At 45.1% G+C, this 19,393-nt stretch overlaps 1 protein-coding gene and 1 pseudogene across 7 annotated transcripts in view, besides 1 other annotated feature; one reads left to right on the top strand and one right to left on the bottom strand.

Annotated features, from left to right (window-relative positions):
* Positions 1-19,393, bottom strand: part of CEP85 (centrosomal protein 85) — a 44,609-nt gene that overhangs the window by 12,457 nt on the left and 12,759 nt on the right. For 6 of the 7 annotated variants that reach the window (XM_047428051.1, NM_022778.5, NM_001319944.2 and 3 more), the window contains 4 exons: positions 10,487-11,181; positions 8,622-8,755; positions 8,092-8,209; positions 6,550-6,735 (listed from right to left, as the gene is read on the bottom strand). In XM_047428051.1, coding sequence (XP_047284007.1) covers positions 6,550-6,735; positions 8,092-8,209; positions 8,622-8,755; positions 10,487-11,181 — 1,133 coding nt within the window. Of the gene's footprint in view, positions 1-6,549; positions 6,736-8,091; positions 8,210-8,621; positions 8,756-9,475; positions 9,519-10,486; positions 11,182-19,393 lie in introns of those variants that run through there. The other variant, XM_047428052.1, reaches the window with a different exon arrangement.
* Positions 2,954-3,317, top strand: MRPS6P1 (mitochondrial ribosomal protein S6 pseudogene 1; annotated as a pseudogene).
* Positions 8,828-9,028: a silencer, noted in NCBI's record as "peak133 fragment used in MPRA reporter construct". NCBI's record gives its function as "represses an SCP1 promoter by STARR-seq MPRAs in K562 erythroleukemia cells {active_cell/tissue: K562}" and the evidence as "EXISTENCE:reporter gene assay evidence [ECO:0000049][PMID:32103011]".

The raw sequence follows: 19,393 nt of genomic DNA, 5'->3' as shown, positions 1-19,393 counted from the left end.
GCAGTGACACGGACACAGCCCACTGCAGCCTTGACCTCCTGGGCTCAAGTGATGCTCCCACCTCAGCCTCTCAGTAGCTTAGACTACAAGCGTGTACCACCATGCCCAGCTAATATTTAAAGAAAAAACAATTTTTTTTTTTTAGATGGAGTTTCATTCTTGTTGCCCAGGCTGGAGTGCAGTGGTGTGATCTCAGCTCACTGGAACCTCCACCTCCCGGGTTCAAGCGATTCTCCTGCCTCAGCCTCCCGAGGAGCTGGGGTTACAGGTGTCCACCACCACGCCCAGCTAATTTTTTGTATTATTGGTAGAGACAGTGTTTCACCATGTTGGCCACGCTGATCTTGAACTCCTGACCTTAGGTGATCCACCCACCTCGGCCTCCCAAAGTGCTGGGATTACAGGCGTGAGCCACCGAGCCTGGCTTAAAATTTTTTATAGAGATGGAGTCTCGTCATGTTGCCCAGGCTGTTCTTGAACTGGGCTCAAGCAATTCTCCTGCCTTGGCCTCCCAAAGTACCAGGATTAAGAGGAGTGAGCCACCATGCCCAGCCTATGAAAGATTTTAATGTTTTTAAAAGATGAAAGTGAACAGGGGAGATAAATGACTTGGGGCAGAAAAGTTATAATCTGCAGTGGGAGTTACAGACAACAGGGAAGAAAATCTGCTCCTCCCAATTCTCAAGAGCCTCTGAACTGAAGTATCAGCTCACTATGGAGGCAAGTATCAACCACAGAGCTGAAAAATAGGGGAATTCCCTAGAAATCTATATACAAATTAGCTAGATATCAGCCTCACCCTGGGCTTCCCCATCAGGAGACTATTCTCTGGAGAAATCAATCAGAGAGATTCCCAACTCAAGAATACCCAGTCACAGCAGAGAGGGTGAAGTATTGGGTTGAAAACAAGTATAAGTAAAAATCTATGTATATGGCCGGGTGTGGTGGCTCACACCTGTAATCCCAGTACTTTGGGAGGCTGAGGTGGGCAGATTAATTGAGGCCAGGAGTTCAAGACCAGCCTGACCAAAATGGTAAAACTCTATCTCTATAAAAAATACAAAAATTAGGCCAGTGCAGTGGCTCAAGCCTGTAATCCTAGCACTTTGGGAAGTCGAGGCGGGCAGATCACATGAGGTCAGGAGTTTGAGACCCGCCTGGTCAACATGGCAAAATCCTGTCTCTACTAAAAATACAAAAATTAGCCGGGCATGGTGGTGGGTGCCTGTAATCCCAGCTACTCGGGAGGCTGAGGCAGGAGAATCGCTTGAACCCGGGAGATGGAGGCTGCAGTGGCCAAGATCACGCCACTGCACTCCAGCCCAGGCAACAAAGCGAGACTCTATCTAAAAAAAAAAAAAAAAAAAAAAAGCCGGGTGTGGTGGTACATGCCTGTAATCCCAGCTACTCAGGTAGCTGAGGCATGAGAGAGAATAGTTTGAATCTGGGAGGTGGAGGCTGCAGTGAGCCTAAATCGTGACACTGCACTCCAGCAACTCCAGAGTCTCCAGCGAGACTGTGTCTCAAAAACAAACAAAAAAAACTATGTATAGAACTGTGGGGACTCTAAGCCCAATCTCCTCAACATCAAGAATCCAAAGGCTAAAAAGCATTCCTGCCTCTAGCCTCTCCACCAGGCAGCAGGTTGAAGATTCTTCCCTAGAGAGAGTGAGAGAAGACATCCAGAGATTGACATTTGAGCATTCCCAAGTGAAAAGGGTAGTCTAAGTCTGATACTACAGTGAAGTCCAACAGGTAACCACCATGAATCCAGAGCTTTCATCCAGCTTTTAAATGCTTCCTTTTTATTTTATTTTTTTGAAGGAGTCTCACTCTCATTGCCAAGGCTGGAATGCAGTGGCGTGATCTCAGCTCACTGCAACCTCCACCTCCCAGGTTCAAGCGATTCTCCTGCCTCAGCCTCCCGAGTAGCTGGGATTACAGGCACCCACCACCATGCCCAGCTAATTTTTGTATTTTTAGTTGAGACAGGATTTCACCATGTTGGCCAGGCTGGTCTTGAACTCCCGACCTCAGGTGATCCACTTGCCTCAGCCTCCCAAAGTGCTGGGATCACAGGCGTGAGCCACCGCGCCCAGCCTGCTACCTTCTTAAATATGAATGCCCATCCATTCAATGATCACCAGGCCTCTAACATGAAAGACACCAAAAACAGAAAAAAAGGACCTTAAGAAAACAAGAAATACTATAAACAGATGTAAACACCCAAAACAATTACAATCAATACTGTCAGAGAGATACTGTACCCATGAAACAAAAACAGATGTATAAAATTCACTGAAGAAAAAAAGCGCAGGAAAAGCATACTATTCAGAAATACAGTCGTCCCTTGGTGTACACGGGGGACTGGTTCCAAGACCACCTTTGTATATCCAAATCTGCTCATACTCGAGTCCCACAGCTGGTCCTGAAGAAACCACATATATGTCGGCCCTCCATATACTCTGGTTTTGCATCTCTTGAATACATGATTTTTGATCTGTGTTTGGTTGAAAAAAATACACGTACAAGTGGAACTGTGCAGTTTAAATGTATTGTTCCAAGGTCAACTATATATATATATCAGGTGAAAGAGAAGAGCTCAAGATAGATACACAATTGTGGGGTTGTGCTGGGGCACAGAACTACTGATCTTTTTCCTTTTTTTTTTTGAGACAATGTCTTGCTGTCACCCAGACTGGAGTGTAACTGTGAGATCATGGCTTACTGCAGCCTTGACCTTTTGGGCTCCAGTGAGTGATTCTCCCACTTCAGCTTCCTGAGTAGCTGGGACTACAGGAGGGACCACCATGCCTGGCTAATTTTTAAAAATTTTTTGTAGCTTTTGCCATCCGGCAGCCATTCAGCCCAGCCACTTCCAGGTCCCTGCCATCCTGCTCCTTTGCTTCCCGGGAACCATCCCAGTTCTGAGCCGCCCACCAAGCCCTTGGGAATGCCTGGCTATAAGCTGGCTTTAATCTTGACAGCCATGCCGCAGCCAGAGACTACTGCTGCTTTGAAAAGTATGATACAAGCCCTGATGAACAGAGGAGCAATAGTGAGGGACTTGCAAAACCTGGGCAAATGAGCACTTCCTTATAAGATCTTCGTCAACAGCACAGCAGAGGTGGGTATTTCTTGGTGAATTTTTATGCACCAACCACAACTGTTGAAAGCATGATGGAGCACTTGTCTAGAGATGTAGATGTGATTGGACAGAGTACTGTAAAACATCCCAGGAACTAAAAGAATATGAAGAGATTGTCCTAGTCTCACTTGAAGAAAAACTGTATTCCACAAAGCAGCAGCAGTGAGGGCCAGGCGCAGTGGCTCATGTCTGTAATCCCAGCACTTTGGGAGGCCAAGGTGGGTGAATCACCTGAGGCCAGGAGTTTAAGACCAGCCTGGCCAACATGGTGAAACCCCATCTCTAATAAAAGTACAAAATTTAGCCCAGTGTGGTGGCATGTGCCTATCATCCCAGCTACTTGGGAGGCTAAGTCACAAGAATGACTTGAGCCAGAGAGGTGGAAATTGAAGTGAGAAGATTCACTAGATTTTAGCCTTATATAGAATTCCTTCACATTTGAGCAACATGGATGAGGAGGAATAGTTTGCAAGCTTGGCCTTTATTTAAGAGTGTGTTGCAGGTGCCGTTTGATTTTTCTAAAATATTTTTAGCCCATGCTCCCCTTTGCTGCAAGAAGTAGGGAACTGCTCACTGACAAGCTTCTCTATCATCTGTGGTACCAGTGGATCATTCTTGATTTTATTTTCATTAGTGTCATTTCTTTGTCAGCGAGGACTTTTCCCCTTCCAACAGTCACATCCCCCGCCCCCCGCCTTTTTTTGTTTTGTTTTGTTTTTTTTGAGACAGACTCTCACTCACTCTGTTGCCCAGATTAGAGAGCAGTGGTGCTATCTCGGCTCACTGCAACATCTACCTCCTGGGTTCAAGCAACTCTCTTGCCCCAGCCTCTTAAGTAGCTGAGGTTACAGGAGCCCACCACCATACCCCGCTAATTTTTGCATTTTGTTTTTTTTTGAGACAGAGTCTTGCTCTGTTGCCAGGCTGGAAGTGCAGTGGTGTGATCTTGGCTCACTGCAACCTCCGCCTCCTGTGTTCAAGTGATTCTCCTGCCTCAGCCTCCCAAGTAGCTGGGACTATAGGCGTGCGCCACCACCCCCAGCTAATTTTTTGTATTTTTAGTAGAGATGGGGTTTCACCATGTTGGCCAGGATGTTCTTGATCTCCTGACCTTGTGATCTGCCCTCCTCAGCCTCCCAAAGTGTTGGGATTACAGGTGTAAGCCATCGTGCCTGGCCATTTTTGTATTTTTTTTAGTACAGAGAGGGTTTCACCATGTTGGCCAGACTGGTCTCGAACTCCTGACCTCAAGTGATTCGCCTGCCTTGGCCTCCCCATATGCTGGGATTACAGGTGTGAGCCACCATGCCTGGCCAGTAAAAGCAAAACTTATAATACCACCTGGGATTGTAAACTAGTCATTCAGACTGTATAACCATGCAGAAATAAAAATTGAAGAGCAACGTATTATATGGGCAACTTTTGCTCTGAGTAATAAACTTGATTTTAGGGAAAAAAAAAATTTTTTTTTTTTTTTAAGAGAGTCTCACTATGTTGTTCAGGCTTGTCTTAAACTCCTGAGCTCAAGCAATTCTCTTGCCACAGTCTCCCAAAGTGCTGGAATTATAGGTATGAGCCACTGAGTCTGGCCAGAACTACTAAATTTTTTATTTTTTCATTTGTTTTTAGAACTACTAGTTTTATTATAAATCTATTGGTATTTAATTACCTAACAGATATATAAATTATTATTTTTTTAAACTCACTAACCCAACTTTCTTTTATTTTTTTGAGATGGAGTTTCGCTCTTGTTGCCTAGGCTGGGGTGCAATGGAGCGATCTTGCCTCATTGCAACTTCCGCCTCCTGGGTTAAAGTGATTCTCCTGCTTCAGCCTCCTGAGTAGCTGGGATTATAGGCATGTGCCACCACGCCCAGCTAATTTTGTATTTTTAGTAGAGACAGGGTTTCTCCATGTTGGTCAGGCTGGTCTCGAACCCCTGACCTCAGGTGATCTGCCCACCTCAGCCTCCCAAAGTGCAGGGATTACAAGCATGAGCCACGGCGCCCAGCCTAACTCAACTTTAAATTTTCTTTTTTAACAAACCCTCTTAAGTCCTTCCAGTACCAACAACATCAGCATCACCTGGGAGCTTGTCAGAAATGCAGAATCCAGCTGGGTGCAGTGGGTCACATCTGTAATCCCAGCACTTTGGGAGGCTGAGGTGGGTGGATCACCTGAGGTCAGGAGTTCGAGACCAGCCTGGCCAACATGGTGAAACCCCATCTCCACTAAAATTACAAAAATTAGCTGGGTGTGGTAGCAGGCGCCTGTAATCCCAACTACTTGGGAGGCTGAAGCAGGAGAATCGCTTGAACCCAGGAGGCTGAGGTTGCAGTGAGCTGAGATTGCACCACTGCACTCCAGCCCAGATGCCAGAGCGAAATTCCATCTCAAAAAAAAAAAAAAGAAAGGCAGGATCTCAGGCTTCCTCCTAGAACTATGAATCTGATGTACATTTTTAACAAGATCCCCAAGTGATTCTGAAACAATGAAGTTTGAGAAGTATTGCTCTAGTTGTTTTAAGTGGTCTAGAACTTTAACATTACTAAACTGGTTCCCCAAAAACACATGCTTTAGAGCAAGCCGTGAATTGGGAGATACCAACAAAACCAAATAACTTTAAACCTAAGGCAATTCTAAGAGTACTGGCAAATATACACACCCAAACTAGCTGTGCACATGGAATTTTTTTTTTTTTTCCTGAGACGGAGTCTTGCTCTATCACCTAGGCTGGAGTGCAATGGCATGATGGCGTGATCCTGGTTCACTGCAACCTCTGTCTCCCGGGTTCAAGCTATTCTCCTGCTTCAGCCTCCCAAGTAGCTGAGATTACAGGCGCCAGCCACCACACCCAGCTAATTTTTGCATTTTTAGTAGAGACGGGGTTTCACCATGTTGGCCAGGCTGGTCTCGAACTCTGGACCTCAGGTGATCCACCCGTTTCAGCCTCCCAAAGTGCTGGGATTACAGGCGTGAGCCACCATGCCTGATGCACATGGAATTTTTCTCTACTTTTTAGGAAGGGTGAGAAACCAGACTGAATGATACAAATATACCACAGGTGTATTTTGCAACAGTGCCACCTGGTATGAGTACTCAGGTTGGTTTTCTACCCAGACCAGCTGGTGGTACATTGCACAGCACAACCTGGGACAGTGAGGGATCATACAACTTTCTCTGACTGTTGTGGTTTTGTGGAGATGAAGCAAAAATGAGGGAGGGAGGAGAGTTCCATTTCTAGCAAAAAGGAGATCTGTGACGATTCTGTGTGAGAAGCCAGTGGAGGATCTCACCCAATTGTCTCCTCTTAGTTCCAGGCCAGAAACAGCTTAGGCTTTAGAGTAGACAGCTGACTGCCAACTCCTTTGTGAACTAGGGCTATCAGCTACTCAGCTCACCCTTTCTTCCTGTTTCTTCACTTCCTCAGAATGCTTCTGCAACGCCACTTTGAGCGACTCTCTGATGAGCTGGACTTCAACTTCAGAAGCAGAGAGTTTCTTTTCAAGGTCAATCTTTTCTCTGCTCAAGGCTTCTGTCTTCTGTGCAAACTGTGCACGTAAGAAAGTGTTTTCTCGCTGCAATTCCTGCCAGAAAGATTCTCAATATGTAACTGTTCTCTACCCTTATAGTCTCATGTACTTTACTTATTCCCAGCATACTTCACGGTCAAATATCATTTTTCTCCAAGAATCTCTTTAAGAAGTGGTTCTCAACTAGGTCTTAGGGTTAACAGCATCAGCATTACCTGATGATGTAATTTGTTAGCAATGCAATGTCTTAAGCCTAACTCCTAGGCCCACCAAACCAGAAACTGTAGGGATGGGTCCCAATAATCTGTATTTTAACAAGCGCTCCAGGGATTCTGATGCACACTCACATTTGAGAACCACTGCCTTAAAGCAATACCTAAGCCATTGTATACTGGAAGGAACCTAGGACAAGACATCAGAAGACCTGGGCTCAAAGCCTGGCTTCCCTCCACTCATTCTCTATATGATCTCAGGCAAGGTCTTCCTCTTTCTCAGGTTTCAATTCTTTAATCAGTAAATTCGAAGAATTAACTAGTTTTATTTAAGGCACTTCCCACTCTTAACATTCTGATTCTATGAGACAGGATACTGCCTTAATTAGGTAGCAAAGCCAGTGCTATAACCTGTCAAATATCCAACATTCAAATGCCCAAATTGCAGAAGCTTGGTCAACAAAGCAGGCTTCTTTTCAAACTCTAAAGCCCCACAACCATTGATCTCAGTGAGAATATTATCTTCTTCAGCTGCTCCTAGATATGGAGGATAAAAATGAGAATGCCCGGGTGCAGTGACTCCCGCCTGTAATCCCAGCACTTTGGGAAGCCGAGGTAGGCGGATCACGAGGTCAGGAGTTCGAGACCAGCCTGGCCAACATGATGAAACCCCGTCTCTACTAAAAATATAAAAATTAGCCAGGCATGGTGGCAGGCACCTGTAATCCTAGCTACTTGGGAGGCTGAGGCAGGAGAATTGCTTGAACCCGGGAGGCGGAGGTTGCAGTGAGCCGAGATTGTGCCACTGCACTCCAGCCTGGGTGACAGAGCAGGGGAAAAAAAAAAAAAGAGAGAGAATAGCTCTAAATCCTGCATTACCTTTGCCTCTCTCTCCTTTGGCTAGGGCTAGAAAATTAAGACTTCTCATAACATCACCCAACTCTAGGACCTTACTATCTACCTTTCTTCCAAGTATGTCTTCACACCCAGGCATCTGGACTTTCACCTGGTTCTTAGCCTTTTCTGCTCCCACAAGGGCATGATAAAGGGTGCTTTATAATTAGTATGCCCTCTTTGAGGGCAGGGACACTTACATCACTTGAGCTCTTTTCTATCTCCTGGATACCTAATGGTGTCAAGCATAGGGAAGACACCGAGTTATGACAAACAGAATGCCATCCTGATGGCCAATACTTACCTGTAGCCTCAGCAAGCAGACATCACCAAAGGGGGCAGGGCGGCCCAAGAGGGCACTGTGGACTTGCAGTTCGCTCTCTCGCACTTTCTGCTCCAGCTGAGAGATGTGTTTCCTCTGCCTGCACAAGCCGGTAGAATCAGGTCAGGGTCCTGATGCTAACCCCTCACAATATGAGCCCCTACTAAGTACAATCCCTATTACGTAAGCAAGATCTTAGATTCTGGATATCACTATTTTCTGAAGGAAGAAGAACAAATGAGAAAGATAACTGGGGAAATGAGGAAAAGATCAGAAGCAATGAACTGGCTACCCCCTTAGGCACTCCCTAGAGCCCCTAAAGAAATACATAACTGGTCTATTATATTAGTTATATATACACGACTAGGCTGCTTATCAAACTACCTCCACCATGAGGCAAGACATGGACCTAAACAGAGGAGGAATGCTTTGCCCTTGGGAAGACTCCATTAGGTGTCTTCAATGGGGCCTGGGAGAGTAGTCTGGCTCTGTGGTACCCCTTGCCCTCTTACTTGTCAATGAGAAGCTCTTTTTCCTTCAGAAGGTGTTCATTACTGTTCAAGATGCTGATCCACTGTGCTGGCTCTAAGATGGGCAGTGAAGGACCAAAAGCAGCAGGATGGTGGCAGATGGCTCCATTCTGAAGCTGAAAGGCAAGTAGGCCCAGATGAGCTTGATCTTGACCCATACACGCCTGAAAACACCTGAGCAGTAATCAGCTGGGTCTGTAGTCAAAGCCCAACTTGGCTCAGCCTGATGAGGCCCAATGTTTATGAAATAATTTTAGCTCTGAGGCATGACTGGAAAGAACCTGCCAGGAAGGCTTCTGCCAACTGAACACTCCCTGTTCAAAAAGGCTCTAGTTTCTAAGAAAAGGTCAGTTATCTTTTATTATCTAGCAACAGAGGCAAACCAGGAGCTAGGATGTCCTCACCAACCAAGGAAGGGGAATATGTCTGCTCCCTTCCTTCCCACTCTTCAGCAGCACAAGGATTTTTTAAAAGAAAATATGCTGGGTGCGGTGGCTCACGCCTGTAATCCCAGCACTTTGGAAGGCCAAGGTGGGCAGATTGCCCAAGCTCAGGAGTTCTAAACCAGCATGGGCAACAGGGTGAAAACCCGTCTCTAATAAAAAATACAAAAAATTAGCCAGGCGTGGTGGCATGCGCCTGTGGTCCTAGCTACTCAGGAGGCTGAGGCAGGAAAATTGCTTGAACCTGAGAGGTGGAGGTTGCAGTGAGCCAAGATCATGCCACTGGGCGACAGAGCAAGACTCTGTCTCCAAAACACACACACACACACACACACACACACCAAAACAAAACAAAACAAAAAAAGGAAAATACAGGCAGGCACAGTAACTCACCCCTGTAATCCCAGCACTTTCGGAGGCTGAGGCGGGCGGATCACAAGGTCAGGAGTTCGAGACTAGGCGGGCCAGCATGGTGAAACCCTGTTTCTACTAATAATACAAAAAAGAGCTGGGCGTGTTGGCACGCACCTGTAGTCCCAGCTACTCGGGAGGTTAAGGCAGGAGAATCACTTGACCTTGGGAGGTAGAGGTTGCAGTGAGCCGAGAACACGCCACTGCACTCCAGCCTGGGCAACAGAGCAAGACTCCATCTCAAAAAAAAAAAAAAAAGAAAATACAAAAGTGGTAGAGAGAACACAGGGGCTCAAAGAAGGTTTTCACATTTATTTATTTATTTTTTGAGACAGAGCCTCGCTCTGTCATCCAGACTGGAGTGCAATGGCGCAGTCTCGGCTCACTGCAACCTCCGCCTCCCAGGTTCAAGCAATTCTCCTGCCACAGCCTCCTGAGTAGTTGGGACTACAGGCGCATGCCACCACACCTGGCTAATTTTTATATTTTTAGTAGAGGCAGGGTTTCACTCTGCTGGCCAGGCTGGTCTCGAACTCCTGCCCGCCTCGGCCTCCCAAAATGCTGGGATTATAGGCGTGAGCCACCTGGCCTCAAAGATGGTTTTTAAACCCCAGCTCTGCCAATTACCAACTCTATGACCCCGTACAGATTATGTAGTCTAAGAACCTGGTAAGTTTCTACATCTACCTCGTTAGTACACTATGAAGATTAAATAAAATGCTGTATGTGAAAGTACTTAGCCTAGTGACGTATAAATACGTTTTTAGGTTTTCCTTTGTAACCTTTTGCTATTTTGGAGACCCTATCTGGTGCTTAATTTGACTACCAAACAGATTCAATGGCCAACAGCTCACAAGCCTGTATTTCCTGTCTACAAACATCTTCCTTCTTTTTACAGCTATTTTCTTTAAGCCAAAATTCAAAGGACAAAAGCTATTACAATTCTAAGAACTGTACAGAACCTAGAAAATCCAAGGAAAGATAGACCTCTACCTGCATTTGCTCCATCTGTAAACGAATCAATTCCAGCTGCTGCCGACAAGTGCTGAGTTCACAAGATTGCTCTCGGGGATGCCAAGTGTCAGGACTCGGCTGCCACACCTGAGAGGGCAGAGGCTTGGAGAGCCCGGGAGCAGGCTGGAGTCCCAAAGGGAGGACCCCACTGCTATTAGAATGTGGTCCATTCCGCTCAAACACTGCCCCGCTGCCCGGTGCCTTCTTGGCCTCAGGCAACACTCTGTACAACTCCTTACTTGTGCTGGTTCTTGGGTTGTGGAAGCGGACTCGGTGGTGAGGATCTGAATAAAGTGTCTCCATCATTGCCGACTGATTGAGGGTAGATTCCATGCTAGGAATATCAAACTTCCTCGCCTCTTCTTGTCTTTCATGGCCCACTGCTGGAAACCAGGACTGCTCAATTCCATTTTCTCCAGTAGCACCAGAGAAATACATGAGATCTCTAGATAGGCCTGGAGAATGTTTCATTGCACCGAGGTCTCCATTTCTTGTCATTCCCACACTTTCAGCCAACCCTGACAAAGGGAGTTTAGAGGAAGAGGGTCCAACAGGTGTAGAATTTGGCTTGGCAGGAGAGGTCCCTAAAGTAGAAGGCATCACATGGGCTGTTGGAATGGTTACGTGGCTTTTGATGGGCTGGAAAGGAGGACTGCCACTTGAGCTGCAAAAATCTGGGGAGAGAATAGTCTTCCATAAGTAAAAATTGAAGTAGCAAGCTTTCTTGAGTTTGAATGCTATGCCAGAAGCTCTCGGCCTGTCCTGAGACCAAGCAGAGAGAGCACCATCATCAAAAGTATCAGGCAGAAAGAAACGGCAACCAAACTGGGAGATGTATGTTCCAGGATCTCAAATGCCATTCACAAGGTAAACTAACAAAAGGCAATAATGACTTCACTTTTAACTTAGTCCTTTGTACTGGAATAAAAAAAATCTTGTCAGTCAACAGACAAAGCTGAAAAACTTTTAAAAAGTTTTTTAAAAAATTTAAACTTTAAAACAAATTACTTACTTAAGGAAAATGAGTTAGGTCCTACTCTTCTGGAAGCTGGACAACTCTCAGCTATAATCAAATCTAATAAAAATATCCTTTCCAAGAGTCACCAGAATCTTCTGCGACCTCCAAAAGCTCCCCCAGGAAGGTGAGCAACGAGTCCAAACTATCTGAAGAATGAAGCGAACTAGACAGTCTTGCTCAGTATGCAGGACAGGGAGTATGGCATCTGAGGCAGGATTCTGTTCTCTCTCCCATACCCCAAACCTGACTGCCTGGATATGTGAAGTTATTCTTAGTAACTCTCAGGTTTCACTCTAGCACAGTGAGCACTCTCAATTGGGTACACACTGAAATCCTCTATTTTATATTTTGCCTTTCACTTGCCCCCTTGTGTGTACCCAACTGTGTTTTTTTTTTTTTAACTTTTCCTTCAGACTGAATTTGTGTTTCCTTTGGCTCCTGCCTGGTCTTGGGAGACAACCCTTGATTAGCCCTACTATACAAGGTTCACATTTCTACCTATTTCCAACTTTCAAGTACTACTCTGAGGGGGACTACTGCAAGCAAACAATAAGGGAGGAATGTGAGGTAACATACTTATTGCTTTCAGCAGGCAGAAAACTGAATAAGGAAATAAGGAATACCAATTTCTTCTCTTTTCAACTATATTCAGTACTCGTTCCCAAATCAAGCATATCTACCACGGAGAAGAGCGACTACCAACTTGTTTCTTTTTCTCCCCAGCAACCAACACAGAGAACACTCAGATAACAACAACAAATACTATAATTGTTCCCAGAATTATGTAAGTATAGATCAGCTACGACCTTCTCATTAAACAACTTTTTTTTTTGAAATGGGGTCTCACTCTGTCACCCAGGCTGGAGCACAGTGGCGTGATCACAGTTCACTGCAGCCTCGACCTCCCCAGGCTCAGGTGATCTTCCCACCTCAGTTTTTGTATTTTTAGGAGAGATGGGGTTTCGCCATGTTGCCCAGACTGGTCTCGAACTCATGGGCTCAAGTGATCCACCTGCCTCAGCCTCCCAAAGTGCTAGGATTACAGGTGTGAGCCACCATGCCCGGCCTTAAGCAACTCTTTAAAAATATGGGCAAGCCACCTCACACCTGTCAGAATGGCTATGATGAAAAAGATGAGGCCGGGCGCAGTGGCTCATGCCTGTAATCCCCAGCACTTTGGGAGGCTGAGGAGGGGGGATCATGAGGTCAGGAGATCGAAACCATCCTGGCTAACACGGTGAAACCCTGTCTCTACTAAAAATACAAAATATTAGCCAGGTATGGTGGCACGCGCCTGTAGTCCCAGCTATTCGGGAGGCTGAGGCAGGAGGATCGCTTGAACCCAGGAGGTGGAGGTTGCAATGAGCCAGGATCGCACTACTGCACTCCAGCCTGGGCGACAGAGTGAGACTCCATCTCAAAAAAAAAAAAAAAAAGATGAAAGATAACAAGTTTGGAGAGGATGCAGAGAAAAGGGAACTCTAGTACACAGTTGGGGGGAATGTAACACAGCCACTGTGGAAAACAATGGAGTATGTAGCTCCTCAAAAAACTAAAAATAGTTACCATATGATCCAGCAATCCACTTCTGGGTATATATCCAAACGATATGAAATATGTATGTCCAAGAGATATCTACAATCCCATGTTTACTGAGTAATTATTCACAATAGCCAAGTTATAGAATCAACAGACGAACAGATAAGGAAAATGCAGTATATTACACAACGGAATACCAGCCTTATAAAAGATGTCAATTGTGTCACTTGCAACAACATGGATGAAACTGGAGGACACTAAGAGAAATAAGCCAGGCACAAAATGACAAATACTGCACGTTCTTACTTATATGTGGAAGCTAAAAAAAACCTCGACACATAGAAACAGAGAGAATAATTGTGGTTACCAGAAGCTGGGAGCAGGGGGAATCGAGAGATGCTGATCAAAGGGTAAAACATTTCGGTTAGACAGGAGGAATAAATACTTTAAAAAAAGACGTGCAAGCCTTATATTACATGCATAGTATCTAATTTGCTATACTGAAGATGATCTTGGGGATATATAAAAGGCCACACTAAAAAAACACACACACACGTAACAAAACAAAAACCTGAATAAGTTCTGATAACATGCATTAGTCTCTCAGGACCAAGAAAGAAATTTCTCAGTTAAAGGACCCAGTTTCTGATGTCTCACAACTTAAATATAGGACTAGTACACAAGGTTAAGGCAGACTGCTAGTGATAAAGACTTCAAAGACTAGTAAGCAATACAATTTTTTGTTTTATTTTTTGGAGCCGGAATTTCACTCTTGTTGCCCAGGCTGGAGTGCAATGGCGCGATCTTGGCTCACCACAACCTCCTCCTCCTGGGTTCAAGCGATTCTCCTGCCTCAGCCTCCCAAGTAGCTGGGATTAAAGGCATGCTCCACCACGCCCGGCTAATTTTGTATTTTTAGTAGAGACAGGGCTTCTCCATGCTGGTCAGGCTGGTCTTGAACTCCCAACCTCAGGTGATCCGCCCGCCTCGGCCTCCCAAAGTGCTGGGATTACAGGTGTGAGCCACTGCCCCCGGCCCAATTTTTTCTTTTTTGAGATGGGGTCTCACTCACTCTGTTGTCCAGGCTGGAGTGCAGTGGCACGATCTTGGCTCACCGCAACCTCTGCCTCCTGGGTTCAAGCGACTCTTCTGCCTCAGCCTCTCGAGTAGCTGGGATTACAGGAGCCCGCCACCATGCCTGGCTAATTTTTGTATTTTTAGTAGACGGGGTTTCACCATGTTGGCCAGGCTGGTCTTGAATTCCTAACCTCAAGTGATTCACCTGTCTCGGCCTCCCAAAGTGCTGGGATTACAGGGATGAGCCACCGTGCTTAACCATAAGCAATATGTTTTAAATCCTCCATAACAGCACCATAGTTATCAGTTCTTACCAAGGGTCACTGCTCCCACGGTGTAATTACAAAACAGAAGACTGTGAGGTTGTAGCACATGAGGGGTTGCTACCATGAACTTTGCAATACCTCCTTCCAGTCTCCATCCATAGCACCACTCTCTCTAGATTCACCAAATTCAGTTTTGAGCCCACACCCCCTGCTGTGGTTTGAAAGTGTCTGTCCCCCAAAAGTTCATGTGTTGGAAACTTAATTGCCAATGTAACAGTATTAAGAGGTGGGGGCCTCTAAGAGGTGACTGGGTCATGAGGGTAGAAGCCTCATAATAGATTAGCAGAAGTGAGTTAGTTCTCAAAGCAGTGGGTTGTTATAAAAGCAAGCTTGGGGCCGGGCATGGTGGCTCATGCCTGTAATCCCAGCACTTTGGGAGGCTGAGGTGGGCGGATCACCTGAGGTCCGGAGTTTGAGACCAGCCTGATCAACGTGGAGAAACCCTGTCTCCACTAAAAATACAAGATTAGCTGGGCGTGGTGACGCATGCCTGTAGTCCCAGCTTCTCAGGAGGCTGAGGCAGGAGAATCGCCTGAAACCGGGAGGCAGACGTTGCAGTGAGCCGAGATTGCACCATTGCACTCCAGCCTGGGCAACAAGAGCTAAACTCCACCTCAAAAAAAAAAAAAAAAACCAAGCTTGGGTTGGGCACGGTGGTTTATGCCTGTAATCCTAGCACTTTGGGAGGCAGAGGCAAGCGGATCATTTGAGGTCAGGAGTTCAAGGCCAGCCTGGCTAACATGGTGAAACCCCATCTCTACTAAAAATACAAAAATTAGCTGGGCATGATGGCGGGTGCCTGTAATCCCAGCTACTCGGGAGGCTGAGGCAGGAGAAATCACTTGAACATGGGAGGCGGAAGCTGCAGTGAGCCAAGATCCCACCACTGCACTCCAGCCTGAGTGACAGAAATAAGACTCTGTCTCAAAAAAAAAAAAAAAAAAAAAAAAAAGAAAAAAGAAAAAAAAAAGGCAAGCTTGGCTCACTCTAGTGGTCTCTGCTTTTCCACCATGTTATGATACAGCACAAAAGCCTTCGCCAGATGCTGCCACTATGCCTTTGGACTTCTCACTCTCCAGAACCCTGGGCAAAATAAACATCTTTTCTGTATAAGTTACACTGTCTCAGGTATTCTCTTACAGTAACAGAAAATACACTAAGATAACCCCAAAATAATGCCAAAACCAAAGCCAAGAAGAAAAGTACCAACTGACCCAGAAGAATATGGCTTTTCTAATTTTTTATAGATGATAAATGGACATATTAGAAAATTAAGGTGAGGTCTTTGTCCACATTTTTAACTTATCTATTGGGTTTATCTATTTATATTAAGTAAACTGCCTGATTCAGACTAACTGTGCTATGAAATGTAAAGTTACACCAGCGGTTCCCAACCTTTTTGTTACCAGGGAATCGTTTTGTGGAACACAATTTTTCCACAGACGATGGTTGGGGGGATGGTTTCAGGATGAAACTGTTCCACCTCAGATCATCAGGCATTAGATTCTCGTAAGGACTGAGCAACCTAGATCCCTCACATGCACAGTTCACAATAGGGTTCGTGCTCCTATGAGAATCTAATGTCACCACTGATCTGACAGAAGGCGCAAGCTCAGGCAGTAATGCTTGCTCGCCTGCTGCTCACCTCCAGCTGTGTGGCCTGGTTCCTAATATGCCATGGACTGGTACTGGTCCACGGGCCAGGAGTTGGGGACCTCTGAGTTACACCGTAAGTCTGGTCTGTGGTTTAGAATATTTTGAAATGAAATAGCAACACTCATTTTCAAAGGGACCTCTATCTTCTACAATTTTCAAAGGCATTCAAAATTTAGTGTATGGGAACCAGGCAGGTGGTGCATCTCTGTAGGCCCAGCTACTCAGTAGTCTAACTCAGGAGGATTACTTGAGCCCCACCGAGTTCATGGCTATAGTACACTATGATGGTACCTGTGTGAACAGTCATTGCACTCCAGTGTAGGCAACACAGTGAGATCCATCTCTTTAAAAAATACAATGCATGGGATATGTGATTTTTATTTACAGAAATCTACAGTTCCCAAAAACTTTGGGGTTTTGCCATTTTAAGAATATAGTTCTAAATCTCTCCCCTACTTAACCACATTTTATGACCCCTCCCCACCCTAAAAAACAACTCATTTTTGAGCAAACTTCCTTTCACAGTAAGGGTAGATTCAGCTATTACCAAATCTCAGTCACTTCAGTCTACACCTGAAGTGATTCAGTAGCCTGAATTACACCAGTGACTATTTCAGTCTTTTGCAAAGAGCTGAAAGCATTCTGAACTCTTCAGTACCCACCTCTACTCTGTCCCTCGAGAATCTTTCAAGGTAAAACACCTTAGTGAAGAAGGGTGGAATCAAAAGCATGCCTATTAAATTTAAAGATGCAACAATGAACTATACTGTATACCAGTCACAGGGGTTCTTGTCAACTAGACCGCAAGCTAGATTCATGAACAAAATGTGTAAGAGTTAAGATTAGAGGCCAGGAGCAGTGGCTCACGCCTATAATCCCAACACTTTGAGAGGCCAAGGTGAGTGGATCAGCTGAGGTCAGGACTTCGAGACCAGTCTGGCCAACAAGGTGAAACCCCGTCTTTACTAAAAATACAAAAATTAGCTGGGTGTGGTGGCACACGCCTGTAATCCCAACTACTCAGAAGGCTGAGGCAGAAGAATCGCTTGAACCCGGGAGGCGGAGGTTGCAGTGAGCCAAGATCATGCCACTGCACTCCAGCCTGGGTGACAGAGTGAGACTCCGTCTCAAAACAAACACACAAAAAGAGTTAAGATTAGGATCATGGTATGTAACAAACATAGCAGTTTAAAAAATGTCTAGGCCTGGGCGTGGTGGCTCACGCCTGTAATCCCAGCACTTTGAGAAGCCGAGGTGGGCAGATCGTGAGGTCAGGAGATCGAGACCATTCTGGCTAACACGGTGAAACCCCGTCTCTACTAAAAATACAAAAAATTAGCCGGGCGTAGTGGCGGGTGCCTGTAGTACCAGCTACTTGGGAGGCTGAGGCAGGAGAATGGCATTAACCCGGAAGGCGGAGCTTGCAGTGAGCCGAGATTGCCCCACTGCACTCCAGCCTGGGCAACAGAGCGAGACTCGGTCTCAAAAAAAAAAAAAAAAAAAAAAGAGTTCAAGACCCAGACTGGCCAACATGGTGAAACCCCATCTCTACTAAAAATACAAAAATTAGCCAGGCATGGTGGTACACGCCTGTAATCCCAGTTACTCGGGAGGCTGAAAGAGGAGAATCGCTTGAACCCAGGAGGTGGAGGTTACAGTGAGCCGAGATTGGGCCACTGCACTCCAGCCTGGGCGACAGAGCGACTCTGTCTCGAAAAAATAAGAAGAAGTAAAAAAAACTTCTAGACCAATATCTTTGACCCCTATCTCGAGAAGACTATTACAACTTTTAAAAAATGCACTAGAATGTAAGTTATTTTCCCAAAAGAATAAAAAAGAGAGTCACACACACAATCTGTGTAGCAATGTAACTGAATTAAATACAGCTGGTCATTTCAATGGGGGAAAAATCTAGACCACTGATTGATTTTAAAAATATCTATTATTTAATCAAAATAAAAAGGTCCTATGACTGCACATGTAGACAAAACCTTAACAAGTGAAAATTAAATTAACAGTAAGATTTTTGATTACACAATTGATAGAATATTACACAGTCAGGAGACCAGAATCTGATAACCAGCTGTATGATGTTAGGCAAGTTACTTAACTCCTTGGGGAATTTTTGTTATTCACCAATCAAAACGAGCAGAGGCAATTTTTGAAGTCCTGTGTACCTCAAAATCTATGATTCAATTCTACTCAATAGTTACTGAGCACAGTCCCCATTATACACATAGTTGTCAAACTATCAAAATTAACTCTAGGGGCTGGGTGCAGTGGCTCACACCTGTAATCCCAGCACTTTGGAAAGTCAGGGCAGGAGGACTGCTTGAGCCCAGAAGTTCAAGAACCATCCTGGGCAAGATGGTGAGAACCTGACTCCACACGCAAAACAAAACAAAACAAAACAAAACAAACTGGCTGAGTGTGATGGTACACGCCTGTAGTCCCAGCTACTTGGAAGGCTTAGGTGGAAAGATAGGTTGAGCCCAGGAGTTCAAGGCTGCAATGAGCTTGTGATCACGCCATTGCACTCAAGCCTGGGTGACAAAAAGAGACCCTATCTTTATAAAACAAACAAACAAAAACTAAAATTAATGCTAGATGTCTAGGAACCAGTAATAGTAGATGTGGTCCCCACTACCCTCTTTTTTTTTTGGAGACAAGATCTCACTATGTTGCCCAGACTGTACTCAAACTCGTGGGCTCAAGTGATTTTCCCACCTCAGCCTTGGGAGCAGCTGGGACTATAGGTACAGACCACTGTCCCTGGCTTTTTTTTTTTCTTTTCATTTTTAAATTTACTCCTCTCAGCTCATACCTATTTAAGAAAAACAAAAAACAAAAACCTTTATTGAAATACAATTCACATATTATACAATTTGCTCACTTGAGGTGTACAATTCAATGGGTTTTAGTATATTAATGGAGTTGCATAATCACTACAATCAATTTTACAACATTTTCATCACTCCAAAAAGAAAACCTCTTACCCTTTGGCAGTCATGCTGTTTCCACCAGCTTCCGAAGCCCTAGAAAACCATTAATCTACTTTGTGTTTCTGTACATTCACCTATTCTGGACTTTAGGCATTAGTTTGATCCTCATAAAGAGCACACAACCTAGATCCCTCAAATGCACATTTCACAATAGGGTTCCTGCTCCTGTGAGAATTTAATCCCGCCACTGATCTGACAGGAGATGGAGCTCAGGCGGTAACGCTCGACCTGCTGCTCACCTCCTGCTGTGTGGTTCCTAACAGGCCAG

Source organism: Homo sapiens, chromosome 1 (genome assembly GCF_000001405.40).
Source record: "Homo sapiens chromosome 1, GRCh38.p14 Primary Assembly".
Classification (NCBI taxonomy): Eukaryota; Metazoa; Chordata; class Mammalia; order Primates; family Hominidae; genus Homo; species Homo sapiens.
This window is presented reverse-complemented; position numbering and strand designations above follow the sequence as displayed.